Source organism: Homo sapiens, chromosome 3 (assembly GCF_000001405.40).
Source record: "Homo sapiens chromosome 3, GRCh38.p14 Primary Assembly".
NCBI lineage: Eukaryota > Metazoa > Chordata > Mammalia > Primates > Hominidae > Homo > Homo sapiens.
In genome coordinates, this window is record NC_000003.12 from 177036940 (window position 1) to 177063549 (window position 26610).

The 26610-nt window shown below is 36.0% G+C and overlaps 1 protein-coding gene and 1 long non-coding RNA gene across 19 annotated transcripts in view, besides 5 other annotated features; one reads left to right on the forward strand and one right to left on the reverse strand.

The window, feature by feature from the left end:
- Window positions 1-26610, reverse strand: part of TBL1XR1 (TBL1X/Y related 1) — a 182457-nt gene that overhangs the window by 17596 nt on the left and 138251 nt on the right. For all 18 annotated transcript variants that reach the window (XM_047448940.1, NM_001374327.1, XM_011513142.3 and 15 more), the window contains 9 exons: window positions 16834-16979; window positions 14565-14787; window positions 13539-13671; window positions 13058-13199; window positions 10547-10610; window positions 10361-10458; window positions 9190-9250; window positions 1374-1495; window positions 1159-1233 (listed from right to left, as the gene is read on the reverse strand). In XM_047448940.1, coding sequence (XP_047304896.1) covers window positions 1159-1233; window positions 1374-1495; window positions 9190-9250; window positions 10361-10458; window positions 10547-10610; window positions 13058-13199; window positions 13539-13671; window positions 14565-14730 — 861 coding nt within the window. In that variant the 5' untranslated portion in view covers window positions 14731-14787; window positions 16834-16979. The remainder of the gene's footprint in view (window positions 1-1158; window positions 1234-1373; window positions 1496-9189; window positions 9251-10360; window positions 10459-10546; window positions 10611-13057; window positions 13200-13538; window positions 13672-14564; window positions 14788-16833; window positions 16980-26610) is intronic.
- Window positions 441-1640: an enhancer, noted in NCBI's record as "CDK7 strongly-dependent group 2 enhancer chr3:176755168-176756367 (GRCh37/hg19 assembly coordinates)". NCBI's record gives its function as "activates an origin of replication core promoter dependent on BRD2, BRD4, P300/CBP, MED14 and CDK7 cofactors, with strong dependence on CDK7, by STARR-seq in HCT116 cells {active_cell/tissue: HCT116}" and the evidence as "EXISTENCE:reporter gene assay evidence [ECO:0000049][PMID:35650434]".
- On the forward strand, window positions 466-10984 carry TBL1XR1-AS1 (TBL1XR1 antisense RNA 1). Its single transcript, NR_174966.1, has 4 exons — window positions 466-805; window positions 1423-1511; window positions 7958-8045; window positions 10695-10984. It is a non-coding gene; the product is annotated as a TBL1XR1 antisense RNA 1 (long non-coding RNA).
- Window positions 2982-3276: an enhancer, noted in NCBI's record as "tiled region #5683; HepG2 Activating non-DNase unmatched - State 16:ElonW, and K562 Activating DNase unmatched - State 14:Gen5'". NCBI's record gives its function as "activates a minimal TATA promoter and a strong SV40 promoter by Sharpr-MPRA in HepG2 cells, with weaker activity in K562 cells {active_cell/tissue: HepG2 | K562}" and the evidence as "EXISTENCE:reporter gene assay evidence [ECO:0000049][PMID:27701403]".
- Window positions 4687-4931: a silencer, noted in NCBI's record as "fragment chr3:176759414-176759658 (GRCh37/hg19 assembly coordinates)". NCBI's record gives its function as "represses an EF-1alpha promoter that drives an FKBP-Casp9 reporter gene in an ReSE screen in HepG2 liver carcinoma cells {active_cell/tissue: HepG2}" and the evidence as "EXISTENCE:reporter gene assay evidence [ECO:0000049][PMID:32094911]".
- Window positions 21055-21114: an enhancer, noted in NCBI's record as "active region_20835". NCBI's record gives its function as "activates an Ori minimal core promoter by ATAC-STARR-seq in GM12878 lymphoblastoid cells {active_cell/tissue: GM12878}" and the evidence as "EXISTENCE:reporter gene assay evidence [ECO:0000049][PMID:35858748]".
- Window positions 21155-21224: an enhancer, noted in NCBI's record as "active region_20836". NCBI's record gives its function as "activates an Ori minimal core promoter by ATAC-STARR-seq in GM12878 lymphoblastoid cells {active_cell/tissue: GM12878}" and the evidence as "EXISTENCE:reporter gene assay evidence [ECO:0000049][PMID:35858748]".

The following is a 26610-nucleotide window of genomic DNA, read 5'->3' on the forward strand; positions in this document are numbered from 1 at the left end:
GAAATAAGTATTACGTTGTTCTTTATCTCCAAATGCTTTTTTCCCCAAATGAGGAATCTGGTGTGCTTAGGTGCGAGACAGCAGTTTTGCTTTTAGTCATACAACAAGAAAAACAGAGATCCATGTTGAGATGTGGATGTTGGTATGTCAACTAGGCTCGCTCACTGAGAGATTCTCTGCTATGTATCAGTTTCCCAGCAATGGTGATACATAGTCATACCACAGCAAAATCAAATTAATACAACGCAAAGAATTCCAATCAAATCCATGAATGCTACAAAGATTTTGAGTACTTATTAAGTCAAATCTTTACATATGCAAATAAACTTTAATTGCAAATAAACTTTAATTGCCTCAACATATGACTTTCTAATGGTGAAGACAATTTATAGCATGACCTTTCTTACTATTGGTGATGTCTAATTTTATCTGTCTTCTTGACTGAGTCACAGGGTACAGATATTTGGTGAGACATTATTTCCGGCTGTGTCTGAGGGTGTTCCCAGTTGAGACAGGCATTTAACTTAGCTGACTGAGAAAAGCAGACTGCCACCCTCCCCAATGGGCGGCGGGGGGGGCATCACTCAGTCCAGTGAGGCTCTAAACAGAACAAAACCGCCAAGGAAGCAAGAATTCTCTGCCTCAGCCTGACTGCTGAGTTGGTATATTGGTCTTCTGCTCTTGGACTGGGACTTACACCATTGGCACTCCTTCTCTGGCCCTGGAATGGAACCACACCTCCATCTTTCATGGGTCTCCAGCTTGTAGACAGCAGACTGTGGGACTTCTCAGCCTCTATAATCACGTGAGTCAATTTCTCACAGTAAATCTCTCATCCATCCATCCATCCATCCATCCATCCATCCATCTTCTTATTGGTTCTGTTTCTCTGGAGAGCCCTAACTAATAGGGTATCATATGTCTCATTGTATCACAAGCCATCATTTTAATATAATTTGCTACATTCAAATAGTTTTATGTATTTCAGAAAAGAAACTATAAAATTTAAAAAACAATGGTTAGCCATTTAAAATGTTGGAGTTTTCATGCAGGTACAAACACTCCATGTAAGACAGACATTCTAAATGGTCTTAAAATGGCCAGAGCAACCATACTGTGTGACACCGCCAACCCATTTCTCCCTACTAAGCAAATTACCTTTAAAGTCATGTCGTCAGAACAGGAGGCCAAGAGATTGCCAGTTGGGTCCCATTTGATAGCATTTACTTCATTCTAAAAATAATAGTAAATATTCACATTTTCATTGTATAGACTGGGTAGCTACTTGAATATTAAACATACATACTTTAAAACTATTCTGAAACATTACTTGTTAATCATGACCACTTTAATGTGGAAAAAAGGTTTCTTACCGTATGTCCTTGGAATGTTTTAATAGGTCTGTCTTGTCCTAATTTACAGACATGAATGCACATATCTGTACTACAAGAAGCAAAGGTGTTGTTGCTCTGCCAATCAACATCCAATGCTGGTGCTGCAAAGGAACAAAGGTTAGATTTGCTTTTATTCCACATGTACTAAAATCCAAGAGTTTTAGCTTTGAACCATTGTTGACTAATAAAATATACTAACAGGCACTTAAACATTTTACTTTATACTTTTTAAGATATTAAGAAAAAATTAAAATAAAAGTATCTATATACAACAATATTAACAAATTTCAATTTAGTTATTTCTAGGTGAGACAGACCCTAAGAGAAAGTACACTGGCCTAGTAACTGGGAGATGAAGGTTCCTGAGAGCTGGCTCTGTGGGTCTTGGGTTCTCTTTTATAAAATGATAAAATTAAATGTGATGATATCATGCTTTTCATTTCTAAAATCTGTGAGTGTTCAATGGACAAGAAGCCTCGGTTCTGTCACTGCATAATTAGTGGACACAAGCAAGTCACTTAACCTCTATGATATATCCTCTTTAGATAAGGGTAACATGCAAGTGTTACCCTCACACACAAGAGTGAGGATAACACACAAGTTGAGCACCCCAATCTGAAAATCCAAAATCCACAATGCTCCAAAATCTGCAACTTTTTGAATGCTAATATGATGCCACAAGTGGAAAATTCCACACATTAAATGCTTAATACAAACTTTACTTCATGCACAAAACTAGTAAAAATACTGTATAATGATGCCATCTGGCTATATTATAAGGTATATGTAAAACATAAATTAATTTCATGTTCAGACTTGGGTCCCATCCCCATGATATTGCCTTATGTATATGCAAATATTCCGAAATCAGAAAAAAAATAAAAATAAAAAATGCAACACAATCCTGGTCCCAAACACTTAGATAAGGGATACTAAACTTGTACTATCTTTATCCTTAGTACACATGGTGAAGACCAGGTGAGATCATGTGTGTGGAAGTACTCTGTCAATTACAAGAGTTAGACAAATGTTATGCTGAATAAGTATCATTCCCATTATCATCTACTCAACTAACAAATGGAATACGGCATATGATTTGCAAATAATTTTCTTCTAAGCAACTTTTGCCAAATACCTCTTAAAATCTGTTCTTGTCAAACACCTCTTAAAATCAAATGCCCCTTAAAATCAATGAATTTAAAAATCTCTGAAGCCCCAAAGCAGGCTGGCATTTAATACTTTGAGTTTAGCTCTGAAATTATTGAACATCCTTGTCTCCTGCTGCAAGGTGCAAAAGATCTCCGTAATTAGCAACACAGATTATGGTAATAATAGTGAGTAACTGGGTTAGGCAACAGAAGCATATCAAAGACTGCATTTAAAGCAGGGGTTGACAAACTATGGCACATAAGCCAAGAATGGCTTTTATAGTGCAATGGGGGAGGAGGGGATCAAAGGAAGACATACAAATGTGGAAAAATGAGATTTAAAGTTCAGTGTCCATAAATAAGAGTTTTATTGAAACCCAGACAAATGCATGAAGTTGCATATTACCTATGGCTGCTTTTTCACTACAAGGGCAGAGCTGATTAGTGGCAACTGAGATCTTATGGCCTACAATGTCTAAAATACTTTCAAGTCCTTTAGTGAAAGTTTGTCAACCCTAATTTAAAGAAAAAACTTAAAGGGGAAAAACAGGAGAGTTAAAGTTGAGCTGTGTGGCCAGGTGTGACTCAGCGCTTTGGTAGCAAAGGCAGGAGAACTGTTTGAGCCCAGGTGTTTGAGACCAGCCTGGGCAAGACAGTGGGACCTCATTTCTAAAAAATAAAAAATTAGCCAGGTGTAGTGGTCCATGCCTATAGTCCCAGCTACTTGGAAGGCTGAGGCAGGAGGACTGCTTGAGCTGGGGAGGCCGAGGCTGCAGTGAGCCGTGATTGCACCACTGCACTCCAGTCTGGGCAACAGAGTAAGACTACTATGTCTCAAAAAACAAAAACAAAAAGTTTAGCTATGTATACTAATTAGTAGAAATACAAAGCATTTAATAAAGGAGATTAGAGACGTCTGTGGAAAGGGAAAACAAAGCCACAAACTCCCTCATTGTGTATATCCAAGCATAATAGTAACTGGCTATGTTAAAAATGAAACATAAACAGGTGCTTAAGCAGTTAAACTTATCAGCCAAGAGATATGTCATGCGTAAGAACTTGTAACTATGGATAGGAGAAGTAAAAAGAATGGGAAAAGAAGATTTAAAGCATTTAGGACTCAGAAAGGAAATTTTAATCAGAACTATACTGAGATTTTTTTTTTTTAAAAGATAAAGTACAACAGGAAAGAGTGAAATTGATTTCACTGCCTGGCTAAAGACAAATCAGGTAAGCCCCAAATCTAAAAGTACTAAGTACTAAAGAACAAAGAAGCGAATTGTAGTAATATGACCAGACATTAAAATAATTAGTTTTGGGTATATTTCTACAATGAAAAACTAGGTATCAGGACACCACTTGGATAGAGTAAGCTCATAAAGGAAACAGACTGGAAAGAAAAGATTTAATGGGAACTTACTATGGAGGTTACATGAAATTTCAAATAACTATATTTTTAAAATATTTAATCCTCCCTCAATCAACCTTTTAACAAAGTGCCATATAAAATTATTAACATAAATTCACCTTTTATACAAAATTTCAAATTATGAGAATTCCCAACAAAGTAAACATAGTCAAAAATCACACCTCAGAGTTGTCAGGCTGAGTAAGTTGCAGGCTGTATTTTTATTCTAGTCATGAAGCAGCACTGCTTTAGCTGGTGTTTGCTCTTCCTGCCCATAAGCCTTTTTGCCTGTGCTGTGTCCAATTCCCAGCTGAGTGCTTCACTGCTAAGGGCTGCCAGGGACAAACTTCACAGAACTGCCTTGCTCTGCTGCTCTGTATCCAAGCTGGTGTTGTGTATGTTTTTGGGAAGGAGGGAGGGAGGAGAGATCTAAAGACCTAGCACCCTTGGTTCAATGTAAGAAAAACTTTGAGGTGCAAGCTCCCCTCTGCACCAGGCTGAGACTGGGCCTTTCTTCACCAGAATCACTTCCTTCCTTGGCTTCTTCCCTCCCCCCCATCCTGCTTCCCATATTTCTTCACTTATTTCTCCTAAGAGGTTTTCCACAATAAGTCACTTCACTCAAATGTTTGGCACAGGGCCTGCCTTTTGGAGAAACCCAACCTAAATCAACTAGTAAACAAAAATATGTGCCAACTTTATCCGCATGATGTGTGAACTCTGCCTCTACTTGTGTGTATCACCATTTCTGACAGCAATGTGGATGACTGTCCTGTTCATTTGGCAGTCAACTCTCATTCGTTCCTTACTGCACTCTGCCCTGCTAGGATGTGCAACCCAGGAGGGCTATTGTAAGTTATGTCCCGGGTTCCTGTGCCTAGTGGTTTCCAGATGGGTTCATACAATGTAAGACACTGTCAGGAGTTCAAAGTGAGGAGTCCAAAGTTAGGAGTAGTAAGAAGACAAGCACGACTGCCATCATTTCAGGCTGGGTGTCGAGCATTGCCAGGCAGCCTATCCTCTACAACCCAGTCCCCACTGGACAATCAGGTCCTGCCTTCTCCTCTAGAGTCTTAGACTTCCTTCAATTAGTCTCTTGGTTACCTCCTATTCCTTAGTTTTTCACTCTTCCCAACACCTCTGCAAATATTTCTTTGTATTAAATTCCCTTTATTGGAGTGTCTAGTTTACACGTCGTTTTCCTCCATGGAACCTAATTCAGTAACTACTGTGCACTTTCATTTTGACTGTGCACTTTCATTTTGACATTAAGTATTATCACTTAAAATACAATTCTAAAAATTTTAATTTTTTTGGTTAGTAATCTTTCTATTGTTAACAAGTGCAAAAAAATGGGGAAGGGAGGCCTGAAAAATCCAATTAGAAGACAGTTAAAGATACATTAAAGTGTTATTCACAAGGCCAAATATATGTCAGGATGTTCCAGAGGTGTTAATTTTATACAGGGCAGCCTGCAAAATGTTAGAGAGGAGGCTAAAATAAACAAAAAGTAGCATTAAAACAAACACGCTATTAGGTTCATAAAAGAAAAACAAAACCAAACTACATAACCAAATCAAGATTGTTGGGATGTAGGAAATGTTGCAACGTAGGTTGTGTGATTAACGCTTTTGTGATATGCCTGCCTCATAAAATACAGTGCTTATAGATTGATGTAATCAAAGAACACATACCTCCTTATTTTATATTTACTCTTAAAATGAGTCTTGATAGTACAAGTTCTTTAGAAAGAAATATCTAACATAAAAAAAAATTTTATGTACCTGACAAGTGAGAGAAGTGTGTTCACTAATACCCATCTCATTTTACACATAAGAGGCTATGAAAACTTAATTTTCCCAGTTAAATAATTTCTTAAAATCTTGGAGCTAAAGTTAACATTTTTGTCTGCTCCACCCCTCTTCTGATTTACTTTCATTAACCCATGTAGCCTCCATAATTTTAAAAGAGAAGGAATGAACCTATGAGCGAAGAAGGATGCATTTATTACTGACTTTATTTTTAAAAAAAAAAGCCTTTATTGACATATAATTCACATACCAATTCACCTGTTTAAAGCATACAATTCAATGGATTTCAGTATATTATTAACTTATAAAATCTCTAGTCAAATATAAAACTTTCTAACTTAATTTTGATTTCTCCTTTGGCCCATGAGTTATTTAGAAGTGTGGGTTCCTGAGTACTTGGGCTCTTCCAGAGAGCTTTCTAATACTGATTTCTAATTTAATTCCATTGTTGCTATAAATGTCATTTAGGTCAAGTTATCGGATAATCTTCAAATCGTTTATAGCCTTACTTCCCTCTTCCCATCTTCTCAGTCCATCAATTATTGAGAGAAGAATACTAAAGTCTTCAACAATTGGAAGCACAATAATTTCTATTTCCTTTGAAGTTCCATCAGTTTTTGCTTCATATGTTTTGAAACAGTGTTATTAAATGCATTATCATTTTAAAATGTTTTGTTGAATTGACTGTTTATCTTGTATTAATAACCTCCTTTTTCCCTGTAAATCTTCTGAGCTTTGAAATCTAGTTTGTCTTATATTAATGTAGCCATTTCAGCTGTCTCTTGCTGAAATGCATACTTATACACTTGAAATGTATAAATGTACACTTGATTAGTGATAGCATGGTATTTATTTTTACATCATTTTATTTTCAGCCTATTGATATTTTTGTATTTGAAGTATATTTTACATAGGCAGTATATAGTTGAGTCTTGCTTGTTGATTCAGTCTCACAATCTCTGCCTTTTAATATTTAGGCCATTTACACTTATTTTGCTTTGTCATATGGTTACATTTAAATTTACTGTACTTCTGTTTATCTCTTCTGTTCTTTCCCCTTTTTGTATTTCTACCTTCATTTGGATTAATTGGATATTTTTTATGATTACATTTTCTTCTCCTTTGATGGGTTCTTAACTGTAATTATTTTTAGTAGTGTTTTTGGATTTATAGTGCACACCTTTAACTTGTCACCATCTACCTTGAGGTGATAATTTTAAATGGGCTAAATAATCTTATTTTCTGCCCCTCTTCCCTCCCCTACCTTTTTACCTAAGATTCTAACTATGTAGGTATTAGTCTGCCCAAAGTTTTATCACAACTCACTGATGCTCTGTCACCACACCCTCTTTTCCAGTCTATGTTCTCTGCGTTTTTGGATAGATTCTATGCTGCCTCCAAGGTCATAAATCATTTCTTCCCGCAGCATCGAATCTGTGGTTTATCCTAACCAGTGCACTTTTCATCTCACATGTTGTTTAATAACATAACTTCATCTCTAGAAGTTTAATAACATATCTTCTGTGTCTCTACTTAGCTTTTTGAACATATGATATGGTTAATCTTTGAACAATGTGAGGGTTAGGAGCACCAACCCCCTGTGCAGTTGGAAATCTGCACATAGCTTTTGACTCCCCAAAATCTTACCAACTAATAGCCAGCTGCTGATTAGAAGACTTACTGATAACAGTTGAATAAGATATATTTTGTATATTGCAGGAATTAAAAATTATGCAGAATGAAGACAGACCAAAAAAGAGTATATACTGTATGATCCCAATCATACAATGTAATCTAATCTCTGGGGATGGGAGAGAGATATCACTAAGGGGCAAGAAGAAACGTCTGAAGGTAACAGATGTATTCATTATCCTGAGTGCGGTAATAGTTTCAATGGTGTATACATATGTCAAAATATATCAAATGGTTCAAGTAAAATACATACAGTTCATTTTATGTCAACTGTACCTCAATAAAATTGTCTTAAAAACAAAAGTATGGTAAGAAAGAATACGATGGGTAAACTGAAGCTTATTTATTCGTAAAAATACTTTGATACTATGTACCTCATCAGGTTGTAGTCAGGACTAAAGGGGACAGAAAGAGCACCATCTCCAACACAGAGTTGGTACTAATCATATGGTACCTAGCAATAGTACCATAAACATACTTACTTCAACTTTACATTACTCCTAGGATGTACGAGAAATTAGTATGATTAACAGCCAAGAAGCCTGAGAGAATTCTGAAAACTAGAAGCAAAGATGAAAAGGAAGCACAACAGGTGAACAAAAATGTATGTGTAAATGCTTATTAAGTGGTGAGCTTTAATCAAGTTGAATTGTTTAACGATGTTTGCAAACTTATTCAGATACTACAGAAAAATCATTTTGCACCTTATTTTGGCTTGTTTAGGCACACTAAACAGAGAATGAAAAAAAAGCAAAATGCCTGAAGTTGCAAATTTCCATTTTAAAGTTGATGCTGTGCCACTGGCTCGCTGTTTGTAAAAGGATGTCATCAAAGATTTGAGAATAACCAGGGTTATTTTAGTCAGTCTCCAAACTGAAATTTTTTCTAGCACAACAAAATCAAAGAGACAGCTAAATCAGGTAGTACTAAAACCACTGGGTATCTTGTTCCAGTTTAACATCATTTAGTTACTGCAGTCGGGAAACTCACTGAAAAGCGGCGCAAAGGTTCTAGGCTTAAACGGAGCGTGGGCACAAAAATATGGCTGGCTCTACTCAAGCTGAATGTCTGGGTGTGTGACTGTATATCATGAAGGACGGAGCACTATTTTCGAGGTCTGATTAATCAGATAAAAGTACCACATTGAGTATTTCTTAAAAGAGAAATCCATCTAAGCCACCAACATTCCAACAACATTGGGAAAGTCTATTTTTTACTTCCTGTAGACAAATACTCAGGTACCTGGATCCAAAATGAGAAAATGACAACAATACCTAAACTTATAGGAGTCTATACAGTATTTTCATGTATATCATTTAGCCTTATCCCATAACAAACAGGTATTATTATTATTATTATCCCTCATTTACAGACAGTGAAAAGGAGGCTCAGAAAGGTTAAGTGACTTGCTCAGTCTTAATAATGCTTCTTAAGTGGAGTGGAACTGACATTCAAACCTAGATTTTCTGATTCAAAAATCTATGTTCTTTCCATTAAATAATGCCACCTCTAATTGCACCAGGCTGCAAATGCTTTATGGTACATTTCACAGAAAACGTTTGATGATCCTCTGACAATTAAGAGTCTGAATGTCATGGAACATCAACTCTCCAAAGGACTAGTAACAAGACTGATACTTGATATTTCAACATTTAAAATAAATTATATGCTGTTAAAAGTTTAATTAGAAAAACAGAAGCAAGCTCCAGCTTTCACGTAAATTATAAGAAATTTACCTGAATGAAAAGGAAACTGTTGCTTGGCTTCACCAGTATGTGCGTCCCAAATAATTGTAGTCTGAGATTAAAAGGAAAAGAAAAATAAACTCATGGAAAGAAGTTTAACATACATGTGTAAAGTATATGCCTAACTGTATTACAGCAATATGAAATGTCAGAGTGGATTTAATTTTAAACACTTTATCCCAAATAGTACCACAAGGCTATATACTTTGGGAGAAAATGACTATTAAGCAGTTTGATTCTTCCCTGATGATTTTGCATTGGTCAACTTACTTCAAATAACAATTACTGGTAGTCTACAAAGGGCCAGGCATTATACTAGATTTTGCTTAAAAAACTCCATTGTAATAGTACATTTAATGTAAGACTCGTATAGATGTTTAGTAAGAGAGAAGTTCTTGGTTAACAACGTAATCAGTTCTCAATACTGAAAGATTCTGAAAGCTCCCATTTACCCAAAAAGGCAGCTTGAATTTTGGCAGTACTTAAAGCAAGAACCTAAAGTATTGTCTAGTGGCGGTGACTATTAACAGGACTCAGTCTCTCTCCTTCCCAGCCTACTTCACTTTTCTTCCCCTTTTGCCACTTTTTTTATTGCTCTCTGAATTTTATAAAGAGTGAACTAGCTTCTCTCCACTTCCCTGTTTGACACCACACTCAATTATTAGCATGCCCTTTCCTGGATTAAGATAATCTTAAACCTTTAGGAGGAAGAAGGTCCTATTTCCAACTCATCTATATTCACCAGCCGACTTAGACAAAGAAGGCTAGACAGATCCTGCATTTCATATTAGCTTCAATTAAGTACCAGGAGTTCGGCTAACAGACCAGCTCTAGAATTTCCCATGGATTCACTCCAGAGCCATATTCACTGGTGAGACTAACTAGAAATTGTAGAAGGGAAGCAAAAAGTGCAGGACGTATGACATTGTTTATGGTTCAAATTCCAGGTAAAATTAAAAGTGTTCACATAGATAAAAGGATAAGGACATTTTGGTAAGTAGATTCAGAAATGAGCTGATAGACCTAAGGAGTATTTCTAGCATAAATTCCTATGTGAATTTCCCAAATAGGAATGTTTATGTAATTGGCAGCTAAGACAAAATACTGCTTTCAATTAAGCTCTGTAATACATTTGCCTTTACAGAACTTAATGAGCTTTTACCTTGTCTACTCCAGCACTTAGGATGAAATTTCCTTTCTTATTCCATTTTAATGCAAATATAGGGCCTTTATGCTGCCCTAAGGTGCTAGCAAGGTTACCTAAAATGCAAAAGAAAAACATTAACATTATTTTAAATTTTCTATCTTTAGATCAACAACAAAGTAAAAAGGAAAATGCTTCATTTACCATCTTTAGTCCATATTCTGGCAAACCCATCATAGGAACCAGTTGCTAGAAGTGTACCTTCACTCTGCCAGAGAAAAACATTTCTTTAATTATATAATCTAGATACGGTATTTAATTGTTGTTAAAGTATTTCATGTTTAAATCCCAGGTACAGAAGAGAATGAAGACATTCTCTGCTTCAAAACTTGTCAGTTTTGCCTACTTGTGAGTGCCACTAAAGGCCTATGAAACCCTTCCACTGTGTGACACTAATGTTGTATGGGGGCCTTATATCCAAAGTTCAACAACTGACAGTGATTGCTCTGGACCAGGATCTACATCACCCCACCTCATGCATGCCAAAAGTATTCTCACAGACTCACACAACTAAGAATGAAGGTAGAGTGGTGGACTGGGAAGAACATCAAATTCATAGTCTTACAATGATTTATTAGAAGTAAAAAAGAAAAACTTTAAAATATGATTAGAAGGTTTTATATGGCCATTCCTCTAAATCCTTTACTGTCTAAAACGAAGTGTGTGGGTATGATCCAAACAATATCATTGTTTCGAATGATCAGATTCTTAAATACTTGAATGTTCCTTTCTATTATTAATCCCTTCCCACTATGAAATATTTGCCAATAAAAAGATCAACAAGGAAAAGAGCCAGAAAAGAGCACAGGCTGACTTTATAGTTAATGAAGTAAGTACAACTGCCTACTTTACCAGGAGGAAAAGTCCATATAAATTTCTCTCAACTTATATTCCCTTGCTGTGCACCTTGCCTCGATGAATTGTGTAATAAAAGGACAGATCTAACCTACTCTATGCAAACACAGAAGTTACAGATTATAGTAAACAGACTATTGCTAGAATCAGTAAACATTACTGGAGAATGAAATCCTGCATTACTTGACATATTATTGATGGTTTTTGGTAAGGGCATTCAAAACAAGATCACCTATTTCACATCTCTCAAGCCATTTAGCAGTATGGCTAAGTGACAAACAAAAACAAATGCTGGTTCTGGGAACTGCAGACTCAATTCTGCTGGGATGTGGCCATCCCTTAGGGCTCTGTCTCAAGAAGAAGGGGAGCCATGTTGAAGTCAACAGTAAAAGCTTATTTCCACATCCTACACAATGTCAAGTTTCCTCTAAACTATCAGTCCCTAAATGTTTTAGTTCATGAACTGCTCAACTAGGAAAATACTGTAAAGATGAGAAATCTCACAGGCTCTCTTGCTTTAGCCATGGAAAAGAATCATTAATCGAGGATAATGTTTTCCAAGTTCACCGTGAATAACACATTTTTTAAAAGCCCACACTTTTCAAAACTATAAAATGCAGTTCAGAACTACCAAGCTCAACAAACCAATATTCATTAACCATCCTTTTCAGTGTAAACTATAAATTTCATTAACATGGCCAGTGGACCAGGTAGCGTAAGAAAGCTGTAAGATATCTGAACTAAAATATAATAAGGGCCCATATTAAGAAAATAATTCTGTCTTGATCTTACAAGTAAATAATACTACAATGTGCTAAACCCCTTTGGAATTTTTAGAATTGTCATATGGAGGGGAAGAGTAAATATGCTGCTGGCAATTTTGGAAGAAAATGCTAAAAATACCTAGCTATGATTTCTGAAAAAACATTTCACAGAAACTGAGAACTTTAGTGGGGATAATCATTTTAAAGATAGATCTCATTCCCGGGGAAAAGAATTGGAAGATCCTTTAGAAAGTCCACAAAGGGTTGTTAAACAGAAGAGAAAAGAACATTCATTTGCTGAGCAAAGAACAACTATCTTGATATTCTTTGCAATGCTGAAATAATCTAAGAGTTTTGGGGGAGGGGCAGGGGGTAGCGGAGCGAGGTAAGAGATGTATTTAAAACTATAATGGTGAGAATTTATCAACAACGAAGTCAAAGTTTTTTGTAAGTCACAGTAGTCAAGTTGTCCTGAAAGATGTTGAATCATACACAGAATCAGAGAATTACAAGATTCCTACAGTGGGAATAAAATTCAGACGTTGTCTAGACTAATGATCCCTAAAAGGAAATTGGTAATAAAGTTCTACCAGTTCACAGAATACAGAGAAAAACAAGAACATGTTTTTTGCTACACAGAATTCTTTTATCCCCTAAGGACTCGGTTGTTATAGATTTAGTATGTTGTTTGTTATTATGGTAAGAATTTTCACCTATTATCTCAAATATTTAGGTACCATTTTCACACTTCTACTTGACATTTAAAGAAAATGAAGTACAGAGTAAAAAGTAACAATTTAACCAAGGATATGCTGTGGGATACACTGAAGAGCTGGATGTTGAACCTTGGTCTGACTAAGGCAAGTCTGTGTCCCACAGTGGGGGAGAGGGCTGGCAGGGGACGACTCCCGGTTTGTTGTTACTAGTTAATAAAACCCCAAATTCTGAACAAATAGACAAACCCTGCCGTGAGTATGAGGCTCTGAGGGTTAGGTATACTAGTAATTATATCCATCATGGATATAGTGATACTCACATTCCAATCTAGAGATGTGACATCCTTGTTGCTTGGAACATCTTGCCCTCCTTCTCGTATACAATGTCTAAGTACTAACTGTGTAGAGCCACTGGTGCTGTTCTCACTAAGATTCCATATTCTTGCTGTTGAGTCTCCAGACCTATAAAAGTATGCAATATATTTTAGATCCTCATGACATTCTCACGTATCAGAACAAGGCAACATATTTACATCTGAATATTAATAAGGCAAATAAAAACGACTATCACGAATTTTCATTTCCAGTATTTTTCCCATTCTACACGTTGGGACCCCCAAGCATTCTCGAAATAGTAAGTTTAATTAAAAATTCTACAATTACTTCATGAAGGAATAAAAAATTTACAGAGACAAAATGGCCACAACTAAGCAACAACAGAAAACCTGAATAATGCATATGTTTATAAAATGTTCAATAAGATATTTTTAAGTCATTTTAGTATCACTTTGAGAAACATACCCTGATGCTAGGAGATCACTAACAGGGTTCCAGGCACAGATAAAAACTTCAGATTCATGGCCCCGCAACACAACAGCTTTATTAGGAGGGATTTCAACATCCCCATCCACTTCCATCATATCAGTATGATTATCTGCATCGTGAAACACAAGTAAGCATTTCCAGTTAGGCAGTATTACAACATGGTGGATGGGTGATTTCTTAACTAGCAAATACCTTCCTTTATCGCACACAGTGTAACATTTTTCAATTATATCCAGTTAAGCTGAACATGACTACACAGTCTTAGTCACACAGAAAATAAATTCTTATCTTTAATTAAGTATTGACCACATACTTTTTTTTTAGAGGGGTGGGGGTGGGAGTGGGATGGGAGACTTTAAATGATTAGACCTAAACATGGATAAAACGATAAAATGGTTTGAATTAAATATAATGTCTATCAGTACTATTCTGAGTTTCTGCCAGTAGGGGTTGCTGATATCATTCATATAACATGAGTTGCCTTTTATCTCGATGTCAGAGCTCTATGGTTATTTGTTGATAACTAGTATTACAAATTTTATTTAGAAATCAAATGTAGATGTAAAAATTCATTTAACAATGGGAAAAGGGTTTCTAGATATTTTAAAAAGAAAATAAAAGTAAATCTAGCTTTTTGGAGCTTTAGGAATAAAAATCTGAATTGAACTGTGTGATACAAGTTAGGGAAACAAGTTGGTGCAAGTTAACAGATGAAATTATTTCAGCATAGAAGATGGGGCATTTCTTCTGAGAAAAAATTTTTAAAAATTCTTGTCTCCTGGGACCTTCCTGGGGGGTGGAGGGTGGGAGGAAGAGGAGGATCAGAAAAAATAACTATTGGGCACTAGGCTTAGTACCTGGGTGATGAAATAGTCTGTACAACAAACCCCTGTGATATGAGTTCATCTATATAACAAACCTGCACATGTACCCCGAATTAAAAGTTTAAAAAAATAAATAAATAAACCATGTAATTAAAAAAAAATTCTTGTCTGAGCTCACTTGCTATAGTATGTGCTCCATTCTCCTCCCCATTTGCTGTGTTTTCTCCATTTTTTGCAGATCCTTGTTGGCTGGCTGCAGCTGCGGCAGCTGCAGCAGCTGCTGCCTGTTGCTGTGCAAGCTTATCTCTATAAGCTTGTTGTCTTGTTTGTACTACATCAGGCATTACGGCATCTATCAGGGACAGAGACTCTATTGGTCGACCATCAAACAAGGTACCATCCTGGATTTGGAAAATTGTGAGAGAAGAAAAATCAAAGGCAATATTTAAAGTTATTTGTATTTATACAAAATCAGAAATGAAATGAAAATCTTCGTTCCTAAAAAAACATTTTTAGGAACTTTCTGAATTCATATAAGAAGTCCGGAGGGAATAAAGAAACTACAAGCAGCAACTGGAAATGACTGCTTACATTTTCCTTTTCATTTAATTCATACTATTATTACAGTATAGAGCTGTACAGATAGAGCTGAAATGAAAGAGATAATAAGATGTAGGCCGAGCTGATAAAAAGGCTTATTAATTAGATTCTGAAATTCTGTTAGTCAAAGCAACAAACAATATGGAATATAGTTCATATAATGATCAGAGGCCTGGTGCCCCATTATAGTAAATACATCTTTTAAAAAACTAAAAACTTTGAGCTGAAGAGTTTCTTGTGATTTGATTCAAATATTAAAGCAGAAACAGACTTCATGGGGCTATAGTGCTCTTGAATATTAGGGAGTTATTAAAATTTCCAAAGCTCTACTTATTGATATTAGGAAGTTCCTAATAAAGAGTTCTCCAAGTAAGCACAAGAAGAGACACAAACACAGAACAAGTCAGAAATACAAACAGTACAAATTAGCTGGGAACATGCATATGTGAAGTCTGGTTCACTTAAACTGGTAAACATGTACCAGTGACAATCTACAGTGTTATTGCAGGGTACTGTGAGCTGCAAAAACACAGCCTGTCTTTCTAAACTGTCCATTGTAATGTAATATTTCAGGAACAGGAGAAAGTATTTTAACTTATAAATAATTTTTAAGATACTAAACCCAACACAGATACACTGTGGAATAAGCGCCATGTCAAATTTACACACATTTTAAGAAAAAATTTAGTTTTGCGTTACTGGATGGTCACTCAAAGAGCTGAGGAAACAAACAAATCCATTTTAGTATATTATGTAATTTCTAATTCTAGTAATAATCATTGATACAGAAATCATAGATACTTCAGTTTAAAAATACTCGCAAAAGGGGAACATGTTAATCTCTGAAATAGAAGTAATGGGAAAAGCTCCTCACTATAGATAAAAATTTTAAACTAGGCTGGGCGTGGTGGCTCATGCCTGTAATTCCAGCACTTTGGGAGGCCGAGGTGGGCAGATTACCTGAGGTCAGGAGTCAAGACCAGCCTGGCCAACATGGGGAAACCCTGTCTCTACAAAAATTCAAAAATTAGCTGGGCATGGTGGTGGGTGCCTATAATCCCAGCTGCTAAGGAGGCAGAGGCAGGACAATCGCTTGAACCCAGGAGGCGGAGGTTGCAGTGAGCTGAGATTGTGCCACCACACTCCAGCCTGGGCAACAGAGCGAGATTCCGTCACACACAAAACAAAACAAAACAAAAAACAAAAACAACATTTTAAACTAGACCGGGGTTTACAACCTTTTTCTGTAAAAGAGTAGACAGTAAATATTAATTTAGGCTCTGCAGGCCATAAGGTCTCTGTCTCAACTACTATTATGCCATAAGTAGCCATGGACAATATGTAAATGCATGTGGCTATGTTCCAATCAAACTTTATTGAGAAAAACAGGGAGGAGCATTTGGCTAATGGGCCACAGTATGCTGACCCCTAAGCCAAACAAACTACTCACATGTAGTCCTTAGATAGGCAGTACCATCCAGAGTTGGCTTCAATTACAAACTGGTTTAAATTTGGGTATATTCAAATAACGTGAGAATTTACAATTTTCAGGCCAATAATTATGATCTTAGCATTCCACAGCACAATGCTGTTGTGTTAATAAAAATTCTTTATTAGTGTTTACTTACACAAACAGATTAAGGCAAACAAACTACAGATAATGGTCCTTACAACTAGGCGCCAACACCTTGCCGGTGCAACCTGACTACCACATTAGGGATGAACTGCCTGCACTTTTGTTAACCCTGTGAAGCTAAAGTCAGAATACTGAATAAGCAAGCAAGACAGCTGACTTAACGGCATATTTAAGATGAAAAAAATCAGTATTTGAAATAAGTCTTCCTTACCTCATTAATACTAACTTCTGCTTCTACATACTGTAGACCTTTCTGGATGATAGAAATCAATGCAGCGGGTGGGACGAGGGCACCATTTATATTGGACTGACTGATATGGCTTTCTATACCAAAGGTAAATGCTGAATGAGAAAATCCTAAAAACAAAAGAAAAGGCATGAGAATTTATTTTCCTAGTGGCAACATGCTAAATGACACAGAAAGAAAGATCACCATCATCTTTTCAAATCCCATCCTACCCATTTAAAATCCCAGACGAAGGTCGTGTGTGTGTGTGTGTGTGTGTGTGTGTGCGCGCGCGTGTGTGTGCATGTAAACATGTCAGCCTTTACATACTTTCTTTTTCTCTTAATGTACTCTTTAAAATTTCTAGTAAATACTTGATTATATAGCTTCAAATTTTCTAAAATGTCATGGTACACAACTTTTCTTAACAAAAAGCATCAAATGTAAAAGGTAAAACAAGTCTTTGGAAATCATATAATTAAATTGCTTCATTTAAATCAGGCCAAGACAGATTAAGGGACATTTAATATTTCTGTATTATATTTTAATATTTTTTACATCTAGAATTAAGGAACTTTATTTCAAATTTTCTTTCATCCCAGCCCAGTTCAAGTATTCAGCATCTCTCAAAAGTGGTACACATAATATGCTTTAAATAGGAATTCATTCATTCTGAATGATCTTCATTTACTTCATGTAATTGTTATCTACTACGTAGTTATAATTCAATAATGTCTGTAAAGCAATCTAGCACTCAGGTAAAATCTGAAGTATTTAAATTTCTACATATAAATTGTCAAACATCTGATAAATTCAGTATTTTGGAGCTCTTTGGAACTACTTAGGAAAACTAAAATAATAAAAATAAATTCAAATATTAAAAAATCATAACGGTTAAATCTCATTTTATGTATGAATTAAGTGCTTTAAAAATACCAATTCTTTGCCACTTAGTAATAACTCATCTATATGAAATATTTAAGAAATGAACAGCTAGCAAATGATTACCTGGTTTATAGGTCTCCATCAGCAATTACTTACTCTTAACTTGAAATACTTAAAACCAAAGCACTTACTTAATAAAAATCTCTTTATGTTGGCCTTGCTTTTTATTAATATCTAGTCAAAATTCAAAGGTAAAATTCTAAGAAGCTGATAAACCAAGGGTGGTTATTTTCTTTACTGAAATATTAATCACCATTTATCATTAAGTAGTAATTTCTATGAAGTATTTTAAACAATTCAATTAAATTGTACAAGTAATATAGAATATTAATAAACATTTATACTAAACAAAGGAAATAAATACAGGCTTATTTTGGGTCTTGGTTAAACTGATTTAATCTATATAGTATGTCTGTTGGCTAGCCTGTCTAGCCTAGTTTTTTAGTGTTTAGTAATGTCTTTTTTGGATTTTGTGCTTCCACTCTTATACTCCTTGTGGTACTTATAAACAGTCTAGTAGAAAATACTGTGGGCTCACAATTTCCTAGCATGTGGCTAGGAAAATTTGGTTATTTGATAGTCAGAGTACACCTAAGTTGATTTTCCTTGTAACCCCTTCCTTCTCTCTTTGGAACACCTAACTCATTATGCTCACAACATCTAACCCACAGTGGAAAAGGCAAGTGGAAAAATGTTACCTCTAAAACCTTGATTTTAGCCCCTGATTTTGCCCATAAGCAAGATCATAATTAAATGCATTTATAGTTTTCATAGTTTTCACCTTAATCTGGGCTCACAGAGATACCAATCGGGGGGCGGGGCGGGGGTGGGGGGGTGGGGGCGGAGAAGCACCGTTTTGAATTGTCCCTATCAGGAAGCCCACAACTATCTGAATATGAGTAGATTCCAGATCACCAAGGCAGAAAACAGAATAAGGATGAGGGAGGATGGGGAGAAACAATGAGAGACATAGCAGTAAAATCCTTAAGCAGTGAGGTTGGAGATTCCTGTTTTCAATTATATAACCCCTCCCTGAATAAATTCACAGTAAATCATCCATAGTAAAAACAGCCAAACGCCAAGCAGCTTAAGAGATTTAAGAAAACTTCAAGACAGAAGACATCATTTACAGAGGGCCTATACCATATGCTAGATACTGTGTACACACATATAATTTTATTATTTTATAATCTAATGGAAAATCACAACTAATAAATGAGAAAGTACAGATTCAAATTCATTCAGAGACTCTACTACTCCTCTTGAACAGTTAAAATATGGTCAAGGATAAAGCTAAGGGAGAGAGTGAGCTCCTGTTTCCTGATAGAAAGTAAAAGACTACATCACTGTTTTGTTTTCATCTCAGGGTCCTGGAAAGTGGTTGCACAGTGCATGAAACACTGAGCCATCTTATTGCCATATTTACTGCCAAGGTTTTGAAAGTGTCTTGACTTATGTAATGCTTATAAATTTGTTTGAAGTACATGATTTCTGTATACTTTATTCATGACTGCAATTTAAATAGTCAAAATTGTTAAATTTGGACCCTATTTAATTAGCTTATAGAGTTTAAGTTTAAAGTAATAATATGTCCAAGAATAGTCTAAGACTTGCAGGTGGAACTGTGCCAATTTCTGGCTGGAATGTTGCAGATATCCTGAATTTGTTCTGTCAGACCAGGAGAAAAACTATCACAGGTGCTTACATGCATCTCAAGGTACTGCAGATGTACTTAGGATGCTCTCAAATAGCAATGAAACATCCCTGAAGTAGTCATTAGCATTGTTTTGGCACTTCTCACTAATGTTTACCCTAGAGAAGTTCCAAACTTAAATGCTCTGCTTAAATGTTGAATTCAACTAGAATATTTTCTTTATTTCTAGCCATGGCATTACATAGCAGTTTAAAATTACTATGTTCAAAATCAATTTTCTTCTTCCCCTCCCTAAAACTACTTTTCCTTAGAAACTTCTGATCTCATTTCACTACACCTGAAAGTCATAGTCATCCTAACTCCCTCTTCTCTCTCGGTCCCTTGGCATTTGACAATTTACCAAATCCTACCATCCTACTCCAAATCCTACCACTCTACCATCTGTAGATGCTCATCACCTTACCTTTTCTGCCAGATCTGCGTTTAGTCCCCATTACCCTTTGCTATACACATTTCTTTCCCCTCCTCCTCAATTCAGTATATATGCCAAGCTACAGCTAGACTATTACTTGTAAAACAAAAAACTGAACATATCACTTCTTGCTTGAGAATTTTCAATGATCCCCTTGGCCTTCATAACAAAGGTCAAACGCCTAATTATGGCACACAGTTGTTTCTGTAATCTGGCTCTTCTGTCTCTCCAGTCTCATCTCAATACTACACACCCCGTCTCACTCCCATTACACAATAAATTCAAGTGGTGGCAAATTACATCTAACATCTTGAATATGCTGTGTTATACATCATGCCTCTGAGCCTTATGTCCTCCTTTGCTCTTTCTCCTATCTGAATGGAGGTGAAATCCTCTTTCACTACACCAGGGCTAACCAGTCTCTCCTACGCTGATCCTAGAATTTCTGTATGTGTGGCACTTACCACACTGGTTATCAACTGTGTGGCTATGGTTGTTTGCCTGTGTGTGACTACTAGACTGGGATCCTGACAAAAGGGTTTAAGTCTAGTAATCCTTTAATTCTGGGAAACTAGCACATTACCTGAGTCAACAAGTACTCAATAAACATTTTTTAAATTAGAATGCAATTATACTATAATGTATTTTGGCACATCAAAAAAATCTGTGACTCCAGAAAAAGCATATGACTTAAGTCTTCCTTGGAAAAATCTAAAACTTGAACTAGTTTTGTGCCAGAAGCTATTTCCATTTATCTGTAAATATATATATGCAGAAAAAGGCTTTTTCCAGGGACAGCTTTTGATTTATATAATAGGAGGCAAAAGAGACCACCTAAATCTGTTAGATGTTAAAATCCGGCATGACCATCTAAAATAGCATCCCTTCTTTCCAAGTGTAAGAGCAAATCTGATAGTACCTCTGTAATCAAGTACTCTAAACACTGACTAGGGTATTGAGACTCAGGGAGAAGAGAGACTCCAGAAAGAAATAAGACTGAAACACATGAAGTATATAGTCATTCAGTGACAGAGACGAGCAACGACAGCTGGCAGGGAGTGGGGTGGCACGCATGAAGATCACAAAACAGCCATTTTCTATAGATCGCTTGTTTCAGGAAGTGCTTTCTGTAAGGATGTTAGGGACTGTGTTCTCAAAGGGGAGTTAGTCATACAGAGCCTGCCAACTCTACCTTGCAAATAGGCAATACAAGAATAAGAAAATGGACTCTGAACACCATGATTATGGTACAGGATGACTAGATGAGACAAACTGGTAAAAAAGGCAAAGCTTAAATATGACCACAACATACTGCCCTAGTCTGAAACGAAAATCTGATTGATCCAAGGTCCTATATAAGCTTCAAGTCAGAAAAGCTCAGCAAATTATACTCATGTTCTCATCATCAAATGCTTTCTTGACTCCAACTCTGCCCTACAGATCCAGATTTTAGAAAAGGTAAATAGGATGGGGAAAAAATGACACAGGGGATCTTTGTTATTGAAGAGCTAGATCTAGTACTGATACACTAGCTATAAAATTTCGTGCCCTAATTTTGCCCTTAAAAATACATGTAACTATGAACATTTTATATAAATAATACTTTCTGAAATAATTTTAATAGCATCATAATATTCAGCCAGTAAATTATTCACGCCATAGCTGGACCTTCGAACTTTTCCAATGATCACTATTTTAAAAGAATATTACCTCAAATATCTATATGTATAGGCTTTTGCCATGTACAATGTGTGTTGTTTTTTTCTCCTTAGGATGGATTCCCTCAAAAGCTGAAGGGGATATAAGCATTTTAAAGAAGGTTTTCATCATTGCCAAATTGCTTTCCAAAAAGATTATTAATAATGCCAAAAGCAATTTCCATGTTTCCTTATACTCTCGCTATGCTGGCTAGTCCTAAAAAACATTGAACAAATTCTCTGTTTGGCAACTATTAAAGGACCATTGTCCCTTTGATAAGTGTGCTAGCAGGAATGTGTAATACGAATTTCCTGTGTCAGCAAAAAATGGTAATTCAGCTTACAAAAAGAGGAGAAAAACTTATTTGGGAAAAAAAAAGAATTGTAATTATCAGCATTTATGACAACTGCTTGCTGTTTATTGTCAATTAGTCATGGATACAACCATGTGTGTAAAATCAAGGTTATTCTGTATTTCATTTGATTATAAAACAAAACTATATACCTACTTGCACTTCTGTAGCTGGTCATCTACTGATAAAAACTAAAAGGCAGACTGAAGGCGGACATACCAGACGCTGAGCTCTCTTCACTGCAGTTCTTCATGACTAGAAGCACATTACTGATAACCACTTCAACCTGACTCCATCGAATACACTGGTAATGTCTGTTCATAAATGGCACTGGGCATAAGGTACATAGGAAGGAATGGCCCAGTTACCTTTATCTGAGTCAACAAAGAAACTGCACTGTAATATTCATTAGCCATTACAGACCTAATGTGAAACTGCTACAATGAAACAAAAAAATGAATGAATGAGCTATATGTTACATGGTAGTACAGGTCAGAGCTTTAATGTTATACATAAAGGTTAGTTTGTGCCTACTGTGATCACGTTTTCTAAATTAAAAAATAATAGTATATGGTTCTGACTTGTGATTTTACAAATATAACATTTGAAGTAATAATCATCTCAAAAAACAAATGGTATGGTACAAGGCCTGTATTTCTAAGGAGATGGAAAATCCCATTGAAAAAGTTAGGGGGAAAAAATGGAGGGAGGGAGGGTGCAAGAGAGATAAGGAGATCCTTCATAAACCAAACTCTTGAAGCCTACATGTATTATCCTTCTTATATATCATCCTGGTTAATATTGTCAACTTGATTGGATTGAAGGATACAAAGTATTGTTCCTGGATATAATTGTGAGAGTATGCCAAAGGAGATTAACATTTGAGTCAGTGGACTAGAAGAGGTAGATCCACCCTCAATCTGGGTGGGAACCGCCTAATCAGCTGCCAGCACAGCTAGGATAAAGCAGGCAGAAGAACATAGAAAAGACTAGATTTGCTGAGTCTTCCAGCCTTCATCTTTCTCTCGTGCTGGATGCTTCCTGCCCTCGAACATCAGATTCCAAGTTCTTCAGCTTTTGGACTCTTGGACTTACACCAGTGGTTTACCAGGGGTTCTCGGGCCTTTGGCCACAGATGGAAAGCTGCACTGTTGGCTTCCCGCCTTTTGAGGTTTTGGGACTTGGACTGATCCACCAGTGGCTTCCTTGCCCCTCAACTTGCAGACAGCCTATTGTGGGTCTTTACTTTGTGATTGTGTGAGTCAATTCCCCCTAATAAGCTCCTTTTCATATATACATATATCCTATTAGTTACGTCCCTCAAGAGAACCCTAATACAGATTTTATATATTTCCTTCTTATATATCACCTTTCTTAAAAATGGAGACAGTATGCAACATCGGTTATTTTTAAATAAATTTTTAAAAAGTAATAATATTCAGAATCACTATCTAGAAAGTTACTCATTTTAGTAACAAGGACATTTTGATTTTGCAATTCCAGTTAAGTCGTTCAATTATAAGATGCAACTGTTTCATAGCTTCCAACAGTCAAGTACAATATAAATGGAGAAGTTACAGAGCTCTTAGACATGTAATAGTTAAACCTAGTATCAAGAATTCTTTCCCTAAAGCAAATATACAACTGAAGCTGGATAAAATGACATCTTCTTATAGAAAACAGGTTGTCTTATAAGAAAACCAGGTGTCAGAAAGTTCAAAAATAACTGCCAGAAACTATTCAAACCACAACTGCAAATAACTAAAGAAGTCAATGGTGACGCAAAAGGTGGGGGAGAGATTAAAAAGGTCCAAACCAGCTTAGTGCCTCTAAAATTAACACTGTATCAGGTTCTACTATATGCAACTTGGCATGTACCACTAAGTATTTATCTGCATATGGTTGCTAGATAAGTTATTAGGGCAATGAAATTAATGCCCCTGGGCAAACACTAATTAAAGGAACAATACTTTTGAATCAAGTTAATCGTTACTTACAGTATTATATATTAAATACGCTCAGTTTTCAAGTCATCTCTAAAGAGAAAAAAATCATTTTATTCCCTAGGAAATATTTGTTGAATAGGGAAGTCCACTTCATAAAAAGGCAGAATGGTGAGGACCAAAGTAATTTGCGTAGGGTGAACTTTCTAGTGATAAAATTGCAAAAAATAAAAGTTACAATAGTTAATAAAAACCCTACAATAAATATATTTTTCTTTAATTAGTTTTGATGAGTCTGAGGGATGGCTTATTTAAAACAGAGATGTCCATCAAATATTTGAGGCTGAATATCACAATGTAAATCCCTTCTCCACAGCAACGTATTTTATAGGTGAGAAAAATGAATCTGAGAATTTATGTAATTTTGGAGGTGGGAAACTTTCAACAGATAGTATCTTATAGTATTGACAACAGTAAAAAATATTTAAGCCTAAAACAATTTAAGTGATTTTCCCCCTGCAGATAGATAACACAGTCAACACTGAACAATATGCAGAGAACAAATGTTAAAAGTTCTTACATAAAAAAAGTATTACTAAACCACATATTTATCAAAACATAAAAACTTTCATAATGTGTTTTTGGACAGTCTTTGATAATGAGACAGGCCAGGCGGAAATTTTAGTTTTGCTTTTTGGAAGTCTTCACAAACCAGTCCTTTGAATGTCCCTGCACAAATACTTCCTTTGCCACGATGTTCCTTTTCTGCTGTCTCCTAATCCAATTCAGTGCTCTATTGCAGGGAAAGCAGCAGTATAAAGATTCCAGTTTCTTCGGTATTACTTTAGATCTTTCAAGAAACATAGTTATAACCTAAGAGTAATTTATATCGCATTTCTTAGATACTGAATGACTAATTCTCAATAAGTATCATTTGTAGGTTGTGGTGATAAATATGATGAATCCCCAAAACAACCCAGACATTACTGTACTTGGTGATTCTGAATTAGGACCTATTGCAAAAGTAGCCACATTTAAGTATAATTGGAGATCAGAACCAAAAAAAAGCTTTGGAATAAGTGGCAAGTGCCCAGATCTAAAGCTACTATGGGCATTTGTTATGAGTGAGATTCTGAGTTCTATCTGAACCCTGTCCTGAGTTCACAGAACTATAACATTCTCAAACTCTCTTCCATATCCTATTTCTGGATGCAATTTCAAATAAATATCTCATGGCACCCTTTAAGACATAAAAACGCCTCATTATTTCTGCTATCTCATTATTCCGCCTGACCCACAAACACAAATATACACTTTCAGTGGCAGCCCCTCTTTAGGATATGCTCTCATAGCCCAAACCTCAGCAGATGTACATGTATTCCATGTTTTCTACTTTATCTTGAATACTCAGCATAATTTTTCTGTCAAGATATTGTGAATATGCTAAATGCTTGCCAATTGTCTTGTCAAGTTCTAATTGTCCTACAACTAATATAGACCAGTGGCTTTCAAACTTTATTAAGCCAAAAGAATCACCTGGGGCATTTGTAAAATGCAGATTCCCAGGCCCCACTCAGTGTGACTCTGATGCAGGTAGTCAGAGGCTCAAACTTCAGAATTCTTAACATAAGCAGTTCTTAAATTTATGGCAAGTTGCAGTCCTGGGAAAACTGCCATAAGTCAAAATGTCATCAGTTGAGTCTGATCTTTCCCTATAAATCATAATGTAAACAGGAAGTTACAATTTTTACCAAGGGACTGATTTTCACATTTTTAGAGATGTGATTTAGCATCACCACTACACTGTAAAGTCTAAAACTTTCTAAAGAATACACAAAGGACACCTAAGAACATACTAAACAATTATGGAGAACTTGATATATCAGTCTACCATACAAATTTTTTTTTAATTCTTGGTTTATTTTTATTTCAACATAAAACACCTTAAAACATGGAATTTTGAAGGGTTTTTTCTCTAAGAAGAAAAGCAAGTTTAAGAAGACTTTTGGGCCGGGTGTAATGCCTGTAATCCCAGCACTTTGGGAAGCCAAGGCGGGCGGATCACCTAAGGTCGGGAGTTTGGGATCAGCCTGACCAACATGGAGAAATGCCAACTCTACTAAAAATACAAAATTAGCCAGGCATGGTGGTGCATGCCTAGAATCCCAGCTACTTGGGAGGCTGAGGCAGGAGAATCGCTTGAACCCGCCGCCGAGATCACGCCACTGCACTCCAGCCTGAGCAACAAGAGCAAAACTCCGTCTCAAAAAACAAACAAACAAAAAAACCCACAACTTTTGATAATATTTAATCTACTCGTTCAGAAATTAACCGAGAATATTATTTTACTGCTCCTTTTTACTGTTTTCTTACAGTAACATCAAGTATCAATTTGTGGACTTTTGTTTAGAAAAAGAAAAATATTACTGCTCTCATTAACACCACTGAACGACAAGGTAGTGCTGAGCTATTCAACTGTTTCTAACTTCCAAAAGCAGTAATTTTATATGGCTCAACCTAAATAGTTGTCTTTACCATACACCAACAAGCCTTTACAATATATTTCCCATCTACTGATCCTTCACAATGGTTTTTGCTCCAGTGTCCAAAAGTCTCAAAGCTCTGGCTTAAAAGGTGATTAAATTTAAAAGCAGAAAGAAGAGTTTGCTTTAACCCAACAAATTTTTTCCATTTGGGT